Source organism: Homo sapiens, chromosome 3 (genome assembly GCF_000001405.40).
Source record: "Homo sapiens chromosome 3, GRCh38.p14 Primary Assembly".
NCBI lineage: Eukaryota > Metazoa > Chordata > Mammalia > Primates > Hominidae > Homo > Homo sapiens.
In genome coordinates, this window is record NC_000003.12 from 179,322,276 (window position 1) to 179,341,384 (window position 19,109).

At 41.6% G+C, this 19,109-nt stretch overlaps 1 protein-coding gene across 14 annotated transcripts, besides 4 other annotated features; it reads left to right on the top strand.

Moving 5' to 3' along the window:
- Nucleotides 486-925: a silencer, noted in NCBI's record as "silent region_14915". NCBI's record gives its function as "represses an Ori minimal core promoter by ATAC-STARR-seq in GM12878 lymphoblastoid cells {active_cell/tissue: GM12878}" and the evidence as "EXISTENCE:reporter gene assay evidence [ECO:0000049][PMID:35858748]".
- Nucleotides 601-16,308, top strand: ZNF639 (zinc finger protein 639). Of its 14 annotated transcripts, NM_001375804.1 has the most exons (8): nucleotides 756-1,016; nucleotides 2,767-3,047; nucleotides 5,017-5,069; nucleotides 5,286-5,356; nucleotides 6,008-6,076; nucleotides 7,343-7,453; nucleotides 10,714-10,848; nucleotides 10,994-16,308. In NM_001375804.1, the coding sequence occupies exons 5-8, from the start codon at nucleotides 6,019-6,021 to the stop codon at nucleotides 12,145-12,147; spliced, it is 1,458 nt and encodes a 485-aa protein (NP_001362733.1). In that variant the 5' UTR covers nucleotides 756-1,016; nucleotides 2,767-3,047; nucleotides 5,017-5,069; nucleotides 5,286-5,356; nucleotides 6,008-6,018; the 3' UTR covers nucleotides 12,148-16,308. The 14 variants fall into 14 exon arrangements, with proteins under 14 accessions (NP_001362735.1, NP_001362733.1, NP_001290354.1 ...); NM_001375806.1 differs by lacking the exons at nucleotides 756-1,016; nucleotides 5,017-5,069 and adding an exon at nucleotides 601-685; NM_001303425.2 differs by lacking the exons at nucleotides 2,767-3,047; nucleotides 5,017-5,069 and adding an exon at nucleotides 2,675-2,718.
- Nucleotides 956-1,095: a silencer, noted in NCBI's record as "silent region_14916". NCBI's record gives its function as "represses an Ori minimal core promoter by ATAC-STARR-seq in GM12878 lymphoblastoid cells {active_cell/tissue: GM12878}" and the evidence as "EXISTENCE:reporter gene assay evidence [ECO:0000049][PMID:35858748]".
- Nucleotides 1,666-1,715: an enhancer, noted in NCBI's record as "active region_20864". NCBI's record gives its function as "activates an Ori minimal core promoter by ATAC-STARR-seq in GM12878 lymphoblastoid cells {active_cell/tissue: GM12878}" and the evidence as "EXISTENCE:reporter gene assay evidence [ECO:0000049][PMID:35858748]".
- Nucleotides 2,757-2,856: an enhancer, noted in NCBI's record as "active region_20865". NCBI's record gives its function as "activates an Ori minimal core promoter by ATAC-STARR-seq in GM12878 lymphoblastoid cells {active_cell/tissue: GM12878}" and the evidence as "EXISTENCE:reporter gene assay evidence [ECO:0000049][PMID:35858748]".
- Nucleotides 16,309-19,109: the final 2,801 nt, after the last annotated feature.

Below are 19,109 nucleotides of genomic sequence, written 5' to 3' on the forward strand. Positions count from 1 at the left end.
TGTCAAAAGGACTGAATTAAACATATCACCACACTTGCACAGAGATCATTTATGGAACCATGTTCACAAATTTATTTATGCTCGTGTAATTTAATCATTTCTACAGCTGCTCAAAGAAAGTCAAAGTCGAGAAAGGACTTAAATCGTCGAGTCCAGTCCCCCTTAACTCCTCATTCATTCCACTATTTCTCGAGCCAAGGAATCGGGTGAAACTCAACAACGACTCGCAGTCTTCAGGTTTCACCCTCTTGCCCTGAGGGCAGCATCCTAGCCCTAGGTGGTTCTCTGGTGTGGCCTCAGTAAAACCGTGACGAGGTCCTCGGCCTCTCTGTCCCCAACAGGCGGCTGGCACACTTCGGGGTCTGAGATGCCATCTGCCTTGCCTAACCTGGGCAAGACCACTCGCGTCCTTTCCCTTGAGGAGCAGCGTGGGAAAGGTGCCGCTGCGCGCCACGTTTCTCCCAGTTCCCCAGGGCTTGAAGGGGCGGTGGAGGCGGGCGGGATAAATTCGCTGGCCGCCTGGCGTGGAGTAATCCTAGAGGGTGGGATCGCCCTCGGGGCTCGGGAGGGGCTCTTCCCCGCCCAGAAGGAGACTGCGGCGGCGCAAGGCCTCCGGCAGGGGGCGCGGGCCGCTGGGCCTCCCCCGGGGCTGCGGGCCGGTGGTCCCTCCCAGGCCGCGTGTGCGGTGCGTTCGCGCAGCCCGCTCCCTGCCCCCACCTCACCTCGTCACCTCCCCGCCCTCTCGGCGGGCCCCTGAGGTGCGCGGCGCAGGCGCGGAGCGTGGCGGCCAGGGCAGTGCGGCCGCGGAGCCTAGGCCAGGGGCCTGGCGCTCAGGGCGTGGGGCGCGCGGGGAGGGAGAGGGGTCGGCCCAGCACAGCGTCCGGGAGCGCTAGGGCCGGAGCAGCGCTGCCCGCCGCCGTGCGTCCGCGGGAAGGACCGCGCGGCCCCTCCGCCTGCGCTCTCGGCCGCCGCCGCCTCTGCGTGGGCCGGCCGGGAGGGCCTCGGGGGACTGACTGGTGAGTGTGAGGGAGGAGCGGGTGGGTCGGGCGCTGGACTGCTCCAGGGGACGCGGGCGTGCGGGCGCATCTTCTAACGGGAGAGGGCGGGAGAGACCGGAGCTCCCTTTATACGGAAACTCTGCCTTCGTTATATGGCGGGATGGCGTTCCCCTCCCCCATCCCGAAGGCAGTTCCACCCCCTGCGCAGGACGCCTTGGCCGGGCTCCCCTCGGCCCCCTGCTGCCGTTGTCTTTACGGAACCTTTGGTGTCGGGGCTTGGAAGTCTCCTTGGCGCCGGCTTCTGGGCCCGGGCGAAGCTGGTGCGTGGCGCCGGGGTGGAGGCGGCTAAGTCCCAGGGACTTCTGCCCTGCGCCTCCGACGGGCATTTGTCTGGCTGCGTCCGGGCTCGGGACGATCCTGGGTCCTCGCTGGCGCTGCGGCCCTGCCCGGCGGCTTCGTGACCTCCGGCGGCGAATCCCCGGGCTCGCGCAACGAGTTGTAGCCGCGGAGAGCAGGCGTCGATGCTGGCGCCCAAAGCCTCCAGCCTGAGAGTCGCCTCACTCGTGTGACGGTGCTTAGAAACCCCCTTTTTTGGTTTTGTCTTTAAGTACTGTCTAGGGAAACGAATCATTTGAAGCAGTTTATGCCTTTTTTGTTTTTTTCGAAGAGAAAGATTTATGCCGGACTGAAAAATAGCGAATCAAGTATTTAGTGACCGTGTGATATTGCAGTAAAGACTGCCTCCACGTTGGACATGTAGTGGATTCTAGTTCAGGCTCTCCTGCAACATGTTTTTGTTTCAATTCTTTTACAATTTAAAGCATATGCTTATTTTAATGAGAACGAAAAAGAAAGCTTAACTCTTTTTAAACTCGTTAAAAATGGAGTTATTTACTGTAAAGACGTCTTACAGCAATTAGGAAGAATATACATTGCATGAAAGGCCTTTTGAAACGTTTATCTATTTGATGATTGCTGACTGCCTGTTGTATGTATTCTATTTTGTGCATAGACTTTCTTGTTGGTTGAAAAAAATGACAGGTGGAAAGATGTTGGTTTCTAGGTGATATAAAAAATTTTTAAACATTTTTCTGATTTTTCTGCAGTGACACGTGTTACATATGTCGTTTGTATTTCAGAGGGAGGGGGGACTGTGATAGGTTGCTTGTGATTCAGAATCTTCCTGCTAAGAAGACTAGTGAGCAAATGTTTATGACATCCTTGAGTAGAAAGCTAAGTTTTTTCAAGGCTGTTATGCACACAAAAGGCACATAAAAATGATTGCTAAAATGAAGGATGGTTAGCATTTTTGGTCTTGAGTAGGCATCACCATTGTGCTGAAAGGAAGTCCGATAGACATTTGGTTATCGTTCGGCCCTAAGTAGGAGTCAGACCCTTCCTGATCCGTGTGCCTCCTCCTCTCACCTAACAGCCTGAATCCAGGCCAGCTTGCAACGTTGATTTTAATACCACGCTTGGTTTCCTTTTCTTACTTTTATTCTTCAAGTTGCAAAGAACTTGAGATGCATTCTGAAATAACAAGAGACTACTTAACATGTTCGGCTGAGTGTTTTCAGTGTTCTCCCTGATACTTTTAGAGTATTTAGAACATGAAGTGTGAAGCTTTGGGCTATATGAATCGTAATAGCTCTTCTCTTTTTGATTTTTGAATGCAGTGAATTGAGATGGTTACTCAAGGAATGATTGTTTACATTGTTAGGTGAGGCGTTTGATTTTATTCTTTTTTCTTTCTTTCTTTCTTTTTTAGACAGAGTTTCACTCCTGTTACCCAGGCTGGAGGACAATGATGTGATCTCGGGTCACCACAACCTCCGCCTCCCGGATTCAAGCGATTCTCATGCCTCAGCCTCCCGAGTAGCTCAGATTACAGGCATGTGCCACCACGCCCGGCTAATTTTGTATTTTCAGTCGAGACGGGGTTTCCCCATGTTGGTCAGGCTAGTCTTGAATTCCCGACCTCAGGTGATCTGTTCGCCTCGGCCTCCCAAAGTGCTGGGATTACAGGCGTGAACCACTGCACCCGGCGAGGTGAGGTATTTTATATATTGGTATCATTTCTGTACATTTCATGGTTGTCTGTTTCTTTAGGCTATTCTGTTCCCCTTCTCCCAACTGGTAGCTAAGAACTGGAAGCAAGATGTGCATGCATTTTCATCTCTGGTTCTCCCACTTATTAGTTGACTTAACTTTCACTAAGGCTGTTTCCACATCAGTAAAAATGTAAATGGGTTTGATAGTAACTCCTCCATGTACCGCACAGGACCATTTTGAAGATGAAATAGAATAAGGGTTAGGAAAATGCTTAATAAACTGAAAAGGCCGGGCGCGGTGGCTCACGCCTGTAATCCCAGCACCTTGGGAGGCCGAGGCGGGCAGATCACGAGGTCAGGAGATCGAGAACATCCTGGCTAACACGGTGAAACCCCGTCTGTACTAAAAATACAAAAAATTAGCCGGGCGCCTGTTGTCCCAGCTACTTGGGAGGCTGAGGCAGGAGAATGGCATGAACCCGGGAGGCGGAGCTTGCAGTGAGCCAAGATAGCGCCACTGCACTCCAGCCTGGGCGAAAGAGCGAGACTCTGTCCGAAAAAAAAGTAAAAATAAAATAAACTGAAAAAGCACTATCTCATTCCCTGCTGTATTATATCACTTCAGTGCTGATATACCCAGAACTTAGTGAAGCAGCAAAAATAGTATGTGCACCTCAGCTAGAACACCTGTCATGTGTATCACCTTGGTGTTAAGAGCATTATAGGCCGGGCGCGGTGCCTCGTGCCTGTAATCCCAGCACTTTGGGAGGCTGAGGTGGGCGGATCACTTGAGGTCAGGAGTTCAAGACCAGCCTGGCTAACATAGTAAACCCCCGTCTCTACTAAAAATACAAAAATTAGCTGGGTGTGCTGGCGGGTACCTGTAATCCCAGCCTCCTGCTGGCGGGCGCCCGTAATCCCGGCCACTCAGGAGGCTGAAGCAGGAGAATCGCTTGAGCTGGGGAGGCAGAGGTTGCAATGAGCCAAGATCGTGCCACTGCACTCCAGCCTGGGTGACAGAGCAAGACTCCGTTTCAAATAAATAAATAGATTAATAAATAAAGTTGGGTAAACCTTTATTCAAATCCCAACCCCAGCATTTACTGAGTATCTAGCTTTGACTTTACTGTGCCTCAGTTTCCTCAATAACAGGAACTATAATTTTGAGAGGGTGATGTGAATTTTGCATCTCATACGATTACATAGGATTAAATGAGATAAAGTATGTTCACAGCCTGGTACATAATTGGTGGTCAGTAAATTATTATTATCACTTTTACTTTTTTCTTTTTTTGTTTTGTTTTGATTTTTTGTTTTTGAGAGAGAGTCTTGCTCTGTTGCCCAGGCTGGAGTGCAGTGGCACGATGTCAGCTCACTGTAGCCCTCCGCCTCCCAGGTTCAAGCCATTCTCCTGCCTCAGCCTCTTGAGTAACTGGGATTGCAGGTGCGCACCATCACACCCGGCTGATTTTTGTATTTTTAGCAGAGACGGGATTTCACCATATTGGCCAGGCTGGTCTCGATCTTTTATTTCTTAAATAAATAATCTATAAGGGCTGTAACAGTTTAAAGTTTATAATTTGGGCCAGGCAAGGTGACTCACGCCTGTAATCCCAGCACTTTGGGAGGCCCAGGTGGGTGGATCACCTGAGGTCAGGAGTTTGAGACCAGCCTGGCCAACATGGTGAAACCCCGTCTCTGCTAAAAATAGAAAAATTAGCCCGGTGTGGTGCCACATGCCTGTAATCCCAGCTACTTGGGAGGCTGAGGCAGGAGAATCGCTTTAACCCAGGAGGCAGAGGTTGCAGTGAGCTGAGATCGCGCCATTGCACTCCAGCCTGGGTAACAAGAGCAAAACTCGGTCTCAAAAACAAAAAGTTTATAATTTGGTTTGCTTTCATTATGCTTGCTTTCCTTATGGATGAATAAATTAATTCAGATTCATAGTCCTATTTTGGTGTCAAAAGATTTAACTATAGGTCAGGCATGAGACTGTCTCAAAAAAAAAGAACTATAGAAGGTAAATCATTTCAAAGAAATGTGGAAATTTGCATATAATCACATATTTATCAAGATATACAGTTTTTAGTATGTAGTACATTGTTTTCAAAATAATATATCTTAATTAGTTCTGTATAACTTTCCAATTGATTAAAGATCTGGTGCCATTGTATTATTCAGTACCAGAAATGAGCTGTATTTTTGCTTAATAACTTCTTTCATGTTTTACTTACAGGCATTTTTTACTGTCTACAGAAACTTATTGTAATTCATTTTTCCTCACTCCAGTAGTAAGAATTATACCAAGTAAGTGGACTGTATTGAAACTAATTAATTTTGTAACAGTTAATGAGAATTTAATTGGATAGTGGTTGCTGCATGTGTTGTGTTCTCAGTGGAACGTTGAATGTGACCTCATAAATAGGAAAATGATTTTTTTCTTGAAAATTATTTATATTCTGATCTGTGTGATGAGTACTTTTTTCTGGAAGCCAGGAGGCCGATACATATTTGTGACAATATTTTTTTAAAGGAAATGTCTCCGCCTTTAGCTTGAAAACTACCTAAAAATACTTCCAATGGTAGGAAATGTGCCTATAAAACTCCTAGTATGGTGCCATAGGCACAGTGTTTCTTTTTTTATATATACACAAAATAAAATGACTTAAACATGTGGTTTATTGTAATTATCCAGTTCTCACAATTTATATCAACATTTGAAAAAGAATTTTTTAACCTCCGTAAGAAAGAAAACAGAAATCAGTTTCTGCCTTGAAACCTGACTGGAAAACAATCTGAAATACAAACAGAGGCATCATTTAACACTTTTCTTATACCATAGATTTTCAGGTGGCTCACATATTTCATATTGCCAATAAATTCTTCAGTTAGAATTTTTATAACGTCATTAACAGTTGTTATTTGTGACATATTTGTTAATTTTTTCTCGTTTTTTAGATTGAAAAGATATGAATGAGTATCCTAAAAAAAGAAAAAGGAAGACTCTACACCCTTCTCGTTATTCAGGTCAGTGTATAATTATTTTAAAGTTGGGTATGGATTAATTCCCACAAAATTATATTCTCATCCATTTTCTCCTAAGTGATCAGATAAGACTTAAATATCTGGGTCAATATTTAGGTAAAACAACGGTTTAAATACATTATCTGAATATATATTCCTTATTGTCTACCATGTGCTAGGCACACATAAGAACTTTACAGACATTATATTATTCCTCACAGCTCTATGGGTTATAAATATTTAAAATTAGATAGCCAAGGTTATTTACTTATATAACATAATTGGGATTTGCATGTCTGATACCTAAGCTGTGCTTAAGACCCAATAATGACAACCTTGGTAGAAAATATTTTACATTATTGGGGAAAAAAGACTTTATCCTCTTTATTACTTTAGGAAATGTAAACTTTCATGCTGAATGTGTAATTTTTTTTTTTTTTTTTTTGAGACAGAGTCTCACTCTCTAGCCCAGGCTGGAGTGCCATGGTGTGATGTCAGCTCACTGCAACCTCTGCTTTCTGGGTTCAAGTGATTCTCCTGCCTCAGCCTCCCAAGTAGCTGGGATTACAGGCGTGTACCGCCACACCTGGCTAATTTTTTGTAGTGTTAAAGTAGAGATGGGGTTTCACCATGCTGCCCAGGCTGGATGACTGTGTAATTTTAGATCCTTTCATTGAGGTTGGCTCTGCTGTGTTGGCAGTATAAGAAAAGGGGTCTTTGTGGCCATCTCTAATACACCTCGCATACATTTACTTGGGACCATCTCAGTCTTACCTATTAGTCTACCCAGCCTACACATTCTTCATATCTGAAGAAATTAACCCTAGTATACTGCTTACTGGCCCTTCCTAGACAACACTTGAAATGACTATATTCAGAAGCCCTAAGTGGTCCTTACCATTTCCCCTATGTAACAACCTTTCTCTGCATGACATGGCACACCTTCCTGGTGTTTATTTCACTGTTTTGTGCAGTTAATACAGTGTTTATCATATATTTTTATTTTGTGTGATTCTGAGTATAAAACAAATGTATCCTTGTATATTTCAAAGTTGTTATGTTTTAGAGTATGTAATTTGTGGTTCTTTCAAAGTCCTATGTCAATATTGGATCTGAAATATAAAAGCTTTAAAAGTTGAAAATGTATAATATTTTCATTACAGATACTATAATTAACATTAAGAACATTTGTATAAGTTAGATAACGGGAAGTTTCTCATTAAATATGTATGTTTACTGTACTTGAAATATTTTTCATTTTATGTTCAGATTCCTCTGGAATAAGCAGAATTGCAGATGGATTCAATGGAATTTTCTCTGATCATTGTTACAGTGTCTGTTCTATGAGACAGCCAGATTTAAAATATTTTGACAACAAAGGTATATCTAATATTTTCGAAAATATGTTTCTTTAAACTGCTTTTACATTTTTTATTCCTTACTTGAAAATGTGGGTAAAATGTGGATTGATGATTTCAAAACAGACAAGTCTTTGAAATTTGTTACAATGTAAGAAAACAAAGTTGTATTTTTTTAAGAAAGCAAGTAATTTTAACTATTCTTTTTTTTTTTTTTTTTTTTTGAGATGGAGTCTCGCTTTGTCGCCCAGGCTGGAGTGCAGCAGCGCGATCTTGGCTCACTGCAACCTCCGCCTCCCAGGTTCAAGCAATTCTCCTGCCTTAGCTTCCTGAGTAGCTGGGGTTACAGGTGTGCGCCACCACGCTCAACTAATTTTTGTACTTTTAGTAGAGACAGGGTTTCACCATGTTGGTCAGGCTGGTCTCAAATTCCTGACCTCATGATCCGCCCACCTTGGCCTCCAAAAGTGCTGGGATTACAGGCTTGAGCCACCGTGCCCGGCTGTAATTTTAACTTTTAACATTATTTCTGACATATAAATAAAAAAGTGCACTCTCCTAAGTCCATTTTTTGAAGGGGGTGGGGTTAGGGGGAGACAGTCTTCATTCTGTCACCCATGCAGCCATGTCTCACTCCATGGATTATGGCTGACTGCATTCTTGACCTCTTGAGCTAAAGCAATCCTCCCACTCAGCCTTTTGAGTAGCTGGGACTACAGGCATGCACCACGATGCCTGGCTAATTTTTAAAAATTTTTTTGTAAAGACAGGGTCTTGCTGTGTTGCCCAGGCTGGTCTTGAACTCCTGGCCTCAAGCAGTCCTCCCATGTTGGCCTCACAGAGTGCTGAGATTGCAGGTGTGAGCCACGGCTCTCAGCCCTAAATCCACTTTAGTTGGTTAGGAATTGGTGGCAATGCAGGAGTGACTCAGAGTTGGAGTATTTATGTTGAAAGGTTAAGAATAGTGTTAGACACAGTTCTACTCAGCTATACCACATAGTGTGGAAGAAAAGAACAGAGGGTGATTTGGTATTTTTCAATGTTGGATCTTCTATTGGTTCCTCTGTTCTACAGCATTGGTGAATGATAACAATTTACAACTTGCACTTAAGTTAGAGAGTTAGAGACATCGGTATGAATTCCTGTTTAGCTTACTATAGATTCAGATGGCTACATACAGAATGCTTGTAGATATGTGTGTGTATATATATGTGGTACTGTACACACACACTTTGCTGTGTTAGCTGAGAGGGGCTAAAAGAAATGACACCCAGAAGCAGTGAGCATGAGCACATTCAGTGCCCAGCTCTTGGTTTCTAATGCCTCCTTGGGAAAATGGCTGATTCTAGGTCTGGGGCAGGAAATATACAAGATGAACCTGGAGCATTTTGTAGTGCTGGAAAATAGGAAAGTACTTAAAAAAACCTAAACACACGCACTTGACAGGGGTATGCCAAAGGGGCACACGTCAACTTAAAGAGCTCCCAACAGCCAAAACTGAAAACTATTTGGGGACAAAAAATTATAACCCAGAGTATAAAATAAATATCCATGAATTCATGCTGTTATAAATTATTAAATAGAGGAGATGAGGCAAATCTGTGCAGAAAAATTCCAAATTATTAGACTTCATCTTAGCCAAAAGGCCAAGAAGCAGTAAAACTCCAAATTATTTATGTAGCTACTCCTCCCTCTAGGAGGTGGAATATAAGTCTGCACTCCTTAAGCATGGTCTGCACATAGTGACTTCTTACAAAAGGTAAAGTATGGAAAGTAAAAGCACAACTTTAGGCCAGGTGCGGTGGCTCACGCCTGTAATCCCAGCACTTTGGGAGGCTGAGGCAGGCAGATCACCTGAGGTCAGGAGTTTGAGACCAGCCTCAACATGGAGAGACCCTGTCTCTACTAAAAATACAAAATTAGCTGGGCGTGGTGGTGCGTGCCTGTAATCCCAGCTACTCGGGAGGCTGAGGCAGGAGAATTGCTTGAACCTGGGAGGCGGAGGTTGTGGTGAGCCGAGATCGCGCCATTGCACTGCAGCCTGGGCAACAAGAGCGAAACTCCATCTCAAAAAAAAAAAAAAAAAAAAAGACAACTTTATAGTGTTGAAACCTGATAGAGACTTAGCCAGGTGATCAAGATCAACATCAACAACCATAAATCATATTGATAGTATGTACCCTTGATAAGAAGTGATGAAAATGGCAATTTACCTCTGGTCTATCTCCCAGTAATCCATAATTCCAGCGTAATCATTTTAAAAAAAAGAAAGCAGACAAATTCCATTAGCAAGGCATCCTACAGAATACCTGATTAGTACTCCTCAAGGAGTGAGAAACTGCCACAGCCAACAATAGCATAGAGAGACATGGCACCTTAATGGAATGTGGTATCCTGGAACAGAAAAGGGACATTAGGTTAAAAACTAAGGGCATTTAGATGACTTTATTGACTTTTATTAATAAGTTACCAGTATTGGTCATTAATTGTAACAAATGTGCCACACTAATGTTAGATGTTAGTAGTGGAGAAACTGGGATACATGGGACCTCTCCATACTATCCTCTCAGATTTTTCTGTAATTCTAAAACTATTCTAAAAAATAAGGTCTATTTTAAGAAAACATGATGGATGGGCTGAGTGTGGTGGCTCACGCCTGTAATCCCAGGTCTTTGGGAGGCCAAGGTGGGAGGATCGCTTGAGGCCAGGAGTTCAAGGCCAGCCTGGACAACATAGCAAGACCCCATCTCAAAAAACAAGAATTACCCGGGCTTGGTGGTGCATGTCTGTAGTCCTATCTACTCAGGAGGCTGAGGCTGAAGGATCACTTGAGCCCAGGAGTTTGAGGCTGCAGTGAGTGAGCCATGATCATGCCAGTGTACTCCAGCCTTGGCAGACTGAGCAAAACTTGGTCCCTCGCAAAATGTTGAAGCCCAGTTTTCACTATTAACCTGTATTTCAGTTTCCCCATGCTAACTTTGAAACACTGGGGCTGGCCTGAGGGTATAAAGGCTTATTCAAACTCAGTAATTTAAACTTAAAATCCTAAGGAACTTCAAAAAGTGTAATCTAGTCCAAATGGGGCATCAATTCTAAAGCATTTGCTTGTTTGAGCAGATTTTCTGTGTCTGAGGTATATAGATAACTTATCTTTTTATGACTAAATCCAAGTCCTTAGTTCCTGTTGGAATTCAAAATCATATTTAAAAATTGATGCTTTGTTCTATAATTAATGCTTTGATTGTATAAATAATAAGTATTCTTCCAAATCCCTTTTTACAGATGATGATTCTGATACCGAGACGTCAAATGACTTGCCAAAATTTGCAGATGGAATCAAGGCCAGAAACAGAAATCAGAACTACCTGGTTCCCAGTCCTGTACTTAGAATTCTAGACCACACTGCCTTTTCTACAGGTTGGGGGAACTAATTTATAGCATTGATATATTTTGTATTGGTGAATTTTAAAAAAAGTGCATGCAATAAATTTTTTTTTGCCCAGTTGTATTTAACAGATCTTATTTAGTTATAGTCATATAATAGGTTTGTTTTATTCTTCAGAAAAATCTGCTGATATTGTAATTTGTGATGAAGAGTGTGACTCACCTGAATCAGTCAACCAGCAAACCCAAGAGGAGAGTCCTATAGAAGTTCACACTGCTGAAGATGTTCCAATTGCTGTAGAAGTGCATGCGATTTCTGAGGATTATGATATAGAGACAGAAAACAATTCCTCTGAGAGTCTCCAAGACCAAACTGATGAAGAACCGCCAGCTAAACTTTGTAAAATTCTTGACAAGAGCCAAGCTTTGAATGTGACTGCCCAGCAGAAATGGCCTTTACTGAGAGCTAATAGCAGTGGCCTCTATAAATGTGAACTTTGTGAGTTTAACAGCAAATATTTTTCTGACTTAAAGCAGCATATGATCCTGAAGCATAAACGTACTGATTCAAATGTGTGTCGAGTATGCAAGGAAAGTTTCTCTACCAATATGCTTCTGATAGAACATGCCAAACTGCATGAAGAGGATCCCTACATTTGTAAATACTGTGATTATAAGACAGTAATTTTTGAGAACCTCAGCCAGCACATTGCAGACACCCATTTTAGTGATCACCTCTATTGGTGTGAACAGTGTGATGTACAGTTCTCCTCAAGCAGTGAACTCTACCTACATTTCCAGGAGCACAGCTGTGATGAACAGTACTTGTGTCAGTTCTGTGAACATGAAACTAATGATCCAGAAGACTTGCATAGCCATGTGGTAAATGAGCATGCATGTAAATTAATAGAGTTAAGTGATAAGTATAACAATGGTGAACATGGACAGTATAGCCTCTTAAGCAAAATTACCTTTGACAAATGTAAAAACTTCTTTGTATGTCAAGTATGTGGTTTTCGGAGTAGACTTCACACAAATGTTAACAGGCATGTTGCTATTGAACATACAAAAATTTTTCCTCATGTTTGTGATGACTGTGGGAAAGGCTTTTCAAGTATGCTAGAATATTGCAAGCATTTAAATTCACATTTATCTGAAGGGATTTATTTATGTCAATATTGTGAATATTCAACAGGACAAATTGAAGATCTTAAAATTCATCTAGATTTCAAGCATTCAGCTGACTTGCCTCATAAATGTAGTGACTGCTTGATGAGGTTTGGAAATGAAAGGGAATTAATAAGTCACCTTCCAGTCCATGAGACAACTTGATTATTCTCTTTAACTTACAGAATGTTAGTTTAAAATAATAAATTCATCCTTTTTTTGGAGATGATTAAATGGATGATTGTAAACACAACTTATGAAATCTGCCTTTAACAAGTAACTTTTTTAAATTATAAAATTTTATTGGCATTGCTCCATTTTCTGTATATAAATATATCTTTAATGTGGTATTTTCAATTGCGTGATAGTTTGTAGTTTCAACCACTCTTGGTGACTGTCATCCTGTTTCTTCCATATTCTCTGATTTCATGAATTGAAAAGAAACAAATGTATTGAAGAAGTGAGCTACAGTTTTCCTTCCTTAACCATGGGTGCTAGTAACTTTTTAAAACTCAAGACAAGATTAGTTTTTTATGTGTGAAGTCATTAAATTATTACACGACCAGAACTAAAATGCAATATACAGTTAAGTCCACGGATACTCCCATTAATGAGAAATAACACTAGGAAGCCACTATTACAGGAAGAAAAGATTTGGTTTTCATGGCAGTCTGTTTTTTTAAAAAAAAATTTTTGAGCCACTATCTATTGTTGAATATTTTAAGATGGGATGAGGGAGGAACTAATAAGGGCTTACACAATAAAAAATAACTATATCATAACTCATTCATAACTTGATGTTTCATTTTCTGTTGAGGAACCATAAATTCATTCACAGACTTAATATTTTTTTCTTAGAGATGGTCTCGTTCTGTTGTCCAGGATGGAGTGCAGTGGTTGATCATAGCTCCCGGGCTGTAGTCTCCCAGGCTCGAGCAATCCTCCCACTTCACCCTCCTGCATAGCTAGGACTACAGGCATGTGGCACCATGCCCGCTAAGTTTTTAAATTTCTTGTAGAGATGAGATCTCGCTATGTTGCCCAGGCCAGTCTCAAACTCCTGGACTCAAGCAATCCTCCCACCTTGGCCTTCCAAATCACTGGGATTATAGGCATGAGCCATTATGCCTGACTCTTGCCCAAATTTCTGATGTCAAATTGTTCATTGACAGAAAACCCACTGAAGTATTTAAAGTTAGGAAGATCTGGGAGATAGGGGTTGCTGGCATGAAAATGTATAACTTACAACATTTATTAATAAAATGATAAATTAGCATCAATATTAGTTCGTATGGCTGCCATAACAAATTACTACAAACTGAGTTGCCTACCTAGCAGAAATTTATGGTCTCACAGTTGTGAAGGCCAGACATTCAAAATGGAGTTATTGGCAGTTGGTTCCTTCTGAGGGTTGTGGGGGAAGGATCTGTTTCAGGTCTGTCCTTGGCTTGTAGATGGATAGCCTCATGTTCACATGGTGTTCTCCCTGTGTGCAAGTCTGTCCCCCAAATTTCCTCTTTTTTTTTTTTTTTTTGCTTTTTTAATTTTTTGAGACAGAATTTCACTCTTGTCGCCCAGGCTGGAGTACAGTGGCGCGATCTCAGCTCATTGCAACCTCCGCCTCCCAGGTTCAAGTGATTCTGCTGCCTCAGCTTCCCAAGTAGCTGGGGTTAACAGGCGTCAGCCACCATGCCAGGCTAATTTTGTATTTTTAGTAGAAACGGGGTTTCACCACGTTGGCCAGGCTGGTCTCAAATTCCTGACCTCAGGTGATCCACCTGCCTCAGTCTCCCAAAGTGCTGGGATTACAGGCATGAGGCACCGCCCCAGGCCAAATTTCTTGTTTTTATAAAGACTCCAGTCATATTGATTGGATTAGGGCCCCTCCCAATGTCCTCCTTTTAACTTAAAGACCTGATCTCCAAATAAGGTCATATTCTAAGGTGCTGAGGTTTAGGACTTCAACATATGAATTTGGGAGGGAACACAATTGAGTAGCAGAGTCTGAAACAGCACTATAAAGAAGATAGAATTATATGTATCATTGCCCTCAAATTTAACAAGCACTGCTAACATTATTTTTTAGGTTTATTGATATAAGTGGAAGATCAATTTATGACCAATGATTTTCCCACTTCAAGAATTTAGTCTGTTTGGACAATGGTGGCTGCAAGTATTCTTAGAAGGTATTATTTTTATCCCCACTATTTTGTTGTATGTGCATACCTGTGTTCCTAGCAACTCACATTCCATCTAATTATAACATTCCTGTTACGGCTGATAACAAATGTTTCTCAGAAGACTTAAAATTGTAACAGTTTAAATTGTAAGATAACCTTAGAAAGCATCTGGTCTAAACCCTCCAGTTTTCTAAGTTCCTTGCAGAAATAGAAATGTAGATAGCTATGAGGCCAAGTACATATAACCAGTTATGTCTCATGGGAGTGGGATCCAGGTTATCTGGTTTACTGTCTAGTGATGTTTCCATTACATCATGTTACATAAACCTAACCTTTCTCCCTGGGATGTTTTTTGTGACTACTTCACCTAACAATTAACCTAGTTGTTGATAATTTTGTTTTTATGCTTTTTATACATCTAGCTCCAGGAATTGGATTTTTGGAAAAACACCTTAAGTAATGCCTTGGTTTGTTTGTTTTCTTTTAATCTATTTGCTGCTTTACATTTGGATCAAGTGTTAGTAATTGAAAAGATTGCAGGCTGGGCGTGGTGGCCCACGCCTCTAATCCCAGCACTTTGTGGGTGGCTGAGATGGGCAGATCACGAGGTCAGGAGATCCAGACCATCCTGGCTAACAGTGAAACCCCGTCTCTACTAAAAATACAAAAAAAAATTAGCTGGGCGTGGTGGTGGGCACCTGTAGTCCCAGCTACTCGGGAGGCTGAGGCAGGAGAATGGCGTGAACCCGGGAGGTGGAGCTTGCAGTGAGCCGAGATCGCGCCACCACATTCCAGCCTGGGTGACAGAGTGAGACTGTCTCAAAAAAAAAAAAGAAAAGAAGAAAAGATTGCAATGCAGCTACTCAAGAGACATATATCCAAGTTTCAGAACCATATAATTTTGTACTTTTTTTTTTTTCAGACAGTCTTGCTCTGTTGCCCAGGCTGGAGTGTAGTGGCGTGATCTTGGCTCAAGGCAACCTCCACCTCTCAGGTGTAAGCAATTCTCCTGCCTTAGCCTCCCAAGTAGCTGGGATTATAGGCGTGTGCCACCACACCCGGCTAATTTTTGTGTTTTTAATAGAGACGGGGTTTCACCATGTTGACCAGGCTGGTCTTGAACTCCTGACCTCTTGTGATCTGCCCACCTCGACCTCCCAAAGTGCTAGGATTACAGGCGTGAGCCACTGCACCCGGCATAATTTTGGACTTTTTGATGAATCTGCAGCTTCAGGACCTATCCCAATGACAGTTTGTCCCACAAAACCTTTTCGCCTTGGCCCAGTTTTCAAATCAATGATTGACCATAAATTGCTTGAAGTAGTTGGTCTTTATTTATTTATTTTTTGAGATGGAGCCTTGCTCTGTCGCCCAGACTGGAATGCAGTGGCGTGATCTTGGCTCGCTGCAACCTCTGCCTCCCGGGTTTAAGCAATTCTCCTGCCTCAGCCTCCCGAGTAGCTGGGATACAGGTGCCCACCACCACACCCAGCTAATTTTTCTATTTTTAGTAGAGATGGGGTTTCACCATCTTGGCCAGGCTGGTCTTGAACTCCTGACCTTGTGATCCACCCACTTCGGCCTCCCAAAGTGCTGGGATTACAGGCCTGAGCCACCACGCCCGGCCAGTCTTTATTTTTAACTTAAAGAACTTCAGAAAAACAAACCTACCTAAAAAAATTAACACTCCTGGTTTTGTTTTGTTTTTTGTTTTGTTTTACTTCAGAGACAGACATTTTCACTGTATACTTGTGACTTGCACCACAATTCAAGTCTGAGATTACCTAACTGATGATGTTTATTAACACTTCAGTAGAATTCTTCGCAGCAGTGAACAGTAGTGACAGGTCATTATGTTTTTCTTGCTGTTTTAAATCTTCATCTTACAATGAGTTATTTTGAAATTCCAAAACATTTCCCTGTATTCCAGAAATTGAAAATGGTTGTTCACTAAAAAGCCTCTTCTTTTCCTGCTTATAAATTTGCCAATTTTGCCATTTTAAATCACCTTTCTTACGTTTCTCTGAATTGTATATTATTTGTCAATTTCACAGTTTCTATAATCTATTGTTTGCTGAATTGTTACAGTCTTTTGTTTTTAATAGACTAGCACTATTCCTAATTATTAAATCTGATTTACAAAGCATTGAATGACTTAATCCTGGCACCACTTTGCTTTTTTTTTTTTTTTTTTTTGAGACGGAGTCTTGCTCTGTCGCCCAGGTTGGAGTGCAGTGGCGAGATCTCCGCTCACTGCAAGCTCTGCCTCCTGGGTTCACGCCATTCTCCTGCCTCAGCCTCCCAAGTAGCTGGGACTACAGGCGCCTGCCACCACGCCTGGCTAATTTTTTGTATTTTTAGTAGAGACGGGGTTCCAGCATGTTAGCCAGGATGGTCTCGATCTCCTGACCTTGTGATCCGCCCACCTCGGCCTCCCAAAGTGCTGGGATTACAGGCGTGAGCCACCATGCCTGGCCCATTTGTATGTCTTACTACCTTTTACAAGAGACTTAGTATATTTTCCAAGCTGCTGTGTTAATTTTTTAATGGAATTTTAATGCCTAAAAAGGCCGTATGTTGGCCAGGTGCGATGGCTCACACCTGTAATCCCAGCACTTTGGGAAGTTGAGGCGGACGGATCATCTGAGGTCAGGAGTTTGAGACCAGCCTGGCCAACATGGCAAAACCCCTTCTCTACTAAAAATAAAAAACAACAACAAAATTTCCATTGGTTTCCAGATGAGGAAACAGATTCTTAAAAAGACAAACATCTCTCCAAGGTCACGGTCGGTGAGCAAGAACTTGGAGACTCTGATTCCCAGTTTCTGACCCCCTGGTCAATTTCTATCAAATGGCCGAAAGGACTACAGGATAGACTTATACAGATCTAGAGGGTTGTTAGCCAGGTGTGGTGGTTGGCACCTGTAATCCCAGCTACTTGGGGGGCAGAGACAGGAGAATTGCTTGAACCTGGGAGGCAGAGGTTGCAGTGAGTCAAGATTGCACCATTTCCTGGGCGACGAGTGAAACTCTGTCTCAAAAGAAAAAAACAAAAACATATGTTATATAAATTTGAAAGAGCTAATAAAAATCAAATGGCCACAATCTTCTTGGGAAGTAGATTGGCTTACCAAAACATCAATATTCATTAAGAATTTAAGTGAGGCTGGATGCACGTGGTGGCTCACACCTGTAATCTCAGCACTTTGGGAGTCCAAGGTGGGTGGATCACGAGGTCAGAAGTTCAAGACCAGCCTGGCCAAGATGGTGAAACCCTGTCTCTACTAAAAATACAAAAATTAGCTGGGCATGGTGGCGGGCACCTGTAATCCCAGCTACTCGGGAGGCTGAGGCAGAGAGTTGCTTGAACCCAGGAGGCAGAGGTTGCAGTGAGCCGAGATTGCACCACTGCACTCCAGCCTGGGTGACAGAGTGAGACTCCATCTCAAAAACAGAAAAAAAAAAAAAAGAATTTAAGTGAAAATAAATAGTTAAGATCAACTGGTAAACCCAGTGGAGAAACCAATCTGGTTAGTCAGGTATACCGTACAATTAACAGTTTCATCCCAATAAATAAAACAAATTTTGGGATATATATTTGCTTGCCTGTAACTTTTAACCTCAGTACTGATGACTAAAGATAGAGTCACAAGAGAATTTTTATTATGGCACTGAGTTTATGGGATTATATATACTCCTTATGTTAATTTGGCTTTCCATAAATTAATCTTTTAAGACAACATTCACATCTAAGAAATGTGTACATTCATGATTTAAAACAAATTTGCAAAGCTAAAAGTTTTCACATATGGTTTACCTGTTTATATAAAGTTATATGTCCAGTTTGTAAGTTTAAAAACTAAGATTTTAAGACTATTAGAGTTGCTGGAATTTGCTTTGTACTAGTGATTTGAAAAATAATTTTCTGGATAACGAATTTCCATACTAAAGCATCAGTCACCACCAATTCCTTATTAAGTTAATTCTCCTTAGTAACTTTGGTGTTAAAGTGGTAACTATCTGAACCCAAAATAAATTTGTGAAGAGTAATTTATTCATTCTAAAAAGAAATTTTCTTACATTGCTAGAAAAGAATAGTATCTACTAATCTTATTCCCATACTTTATGAAGGGTGATTATTTAGAGAGTTTTAAAAGAAATTAACAGAACATTTAAAAGTGTGTTCTTTGTTGTTTGTTTTTAAATAGGCAAATGAATCTAACCTGACATCTTTTTTCCCCTTGCTAGAAATATTGAGCTGAATGAATTACATTCCAAAAATGTAATGAATAGTACACATTTTGAATGAAAACTCAAAGTTTTCTAGTTTTTAATATCTTGTCTGGAGAGTGTATCCACTACTTGAAAAATACTGCAGTTGAATTATTGATATTTTCACCTTTACTCTTCAAAGTAAAGCTGAAATCAGAAATTGGAATCATATTCAGCAAATGTAATTTCTGGTGGGTAATTTTCTTTTTTCTTTTTAAGGCTATTCACCATGCTCTTCTGAATTTTGGTTGGCTAAAATTTGAGAATACAGAATTCCCACGTTTCCTGCCTACCCTGTTCATTCTTGGTTATGTCCAGAGTGGCATTATTTGTCTTTTTCTGTTTTTCATTTTCTTTTATAAGAGAGGCCCAGGCAGATCTCAAACTCCTGGGCTCAAGTAATCCACCTGCCTCAGCCTCCCAAAGTGCTGGGATTACAGTCATGAGCCACCACTCCCGGCCTTATTCATCTTTTTTTAAATACATTATTTCTGAAATTATATTCTATGGCTGATTACTGTTATCTTTACAACTCATCTTATTTGGGTTTTCAGAAAGTTTCAAAAGATTAAAGTTTTCCCAACTAACAAGGTAAGTTGCCATGAACTAAACATGTCCCCCTCAAAATTCATATGTTCAAATCCTAATCCCCAGTGTGATGATATCAGAAGATGG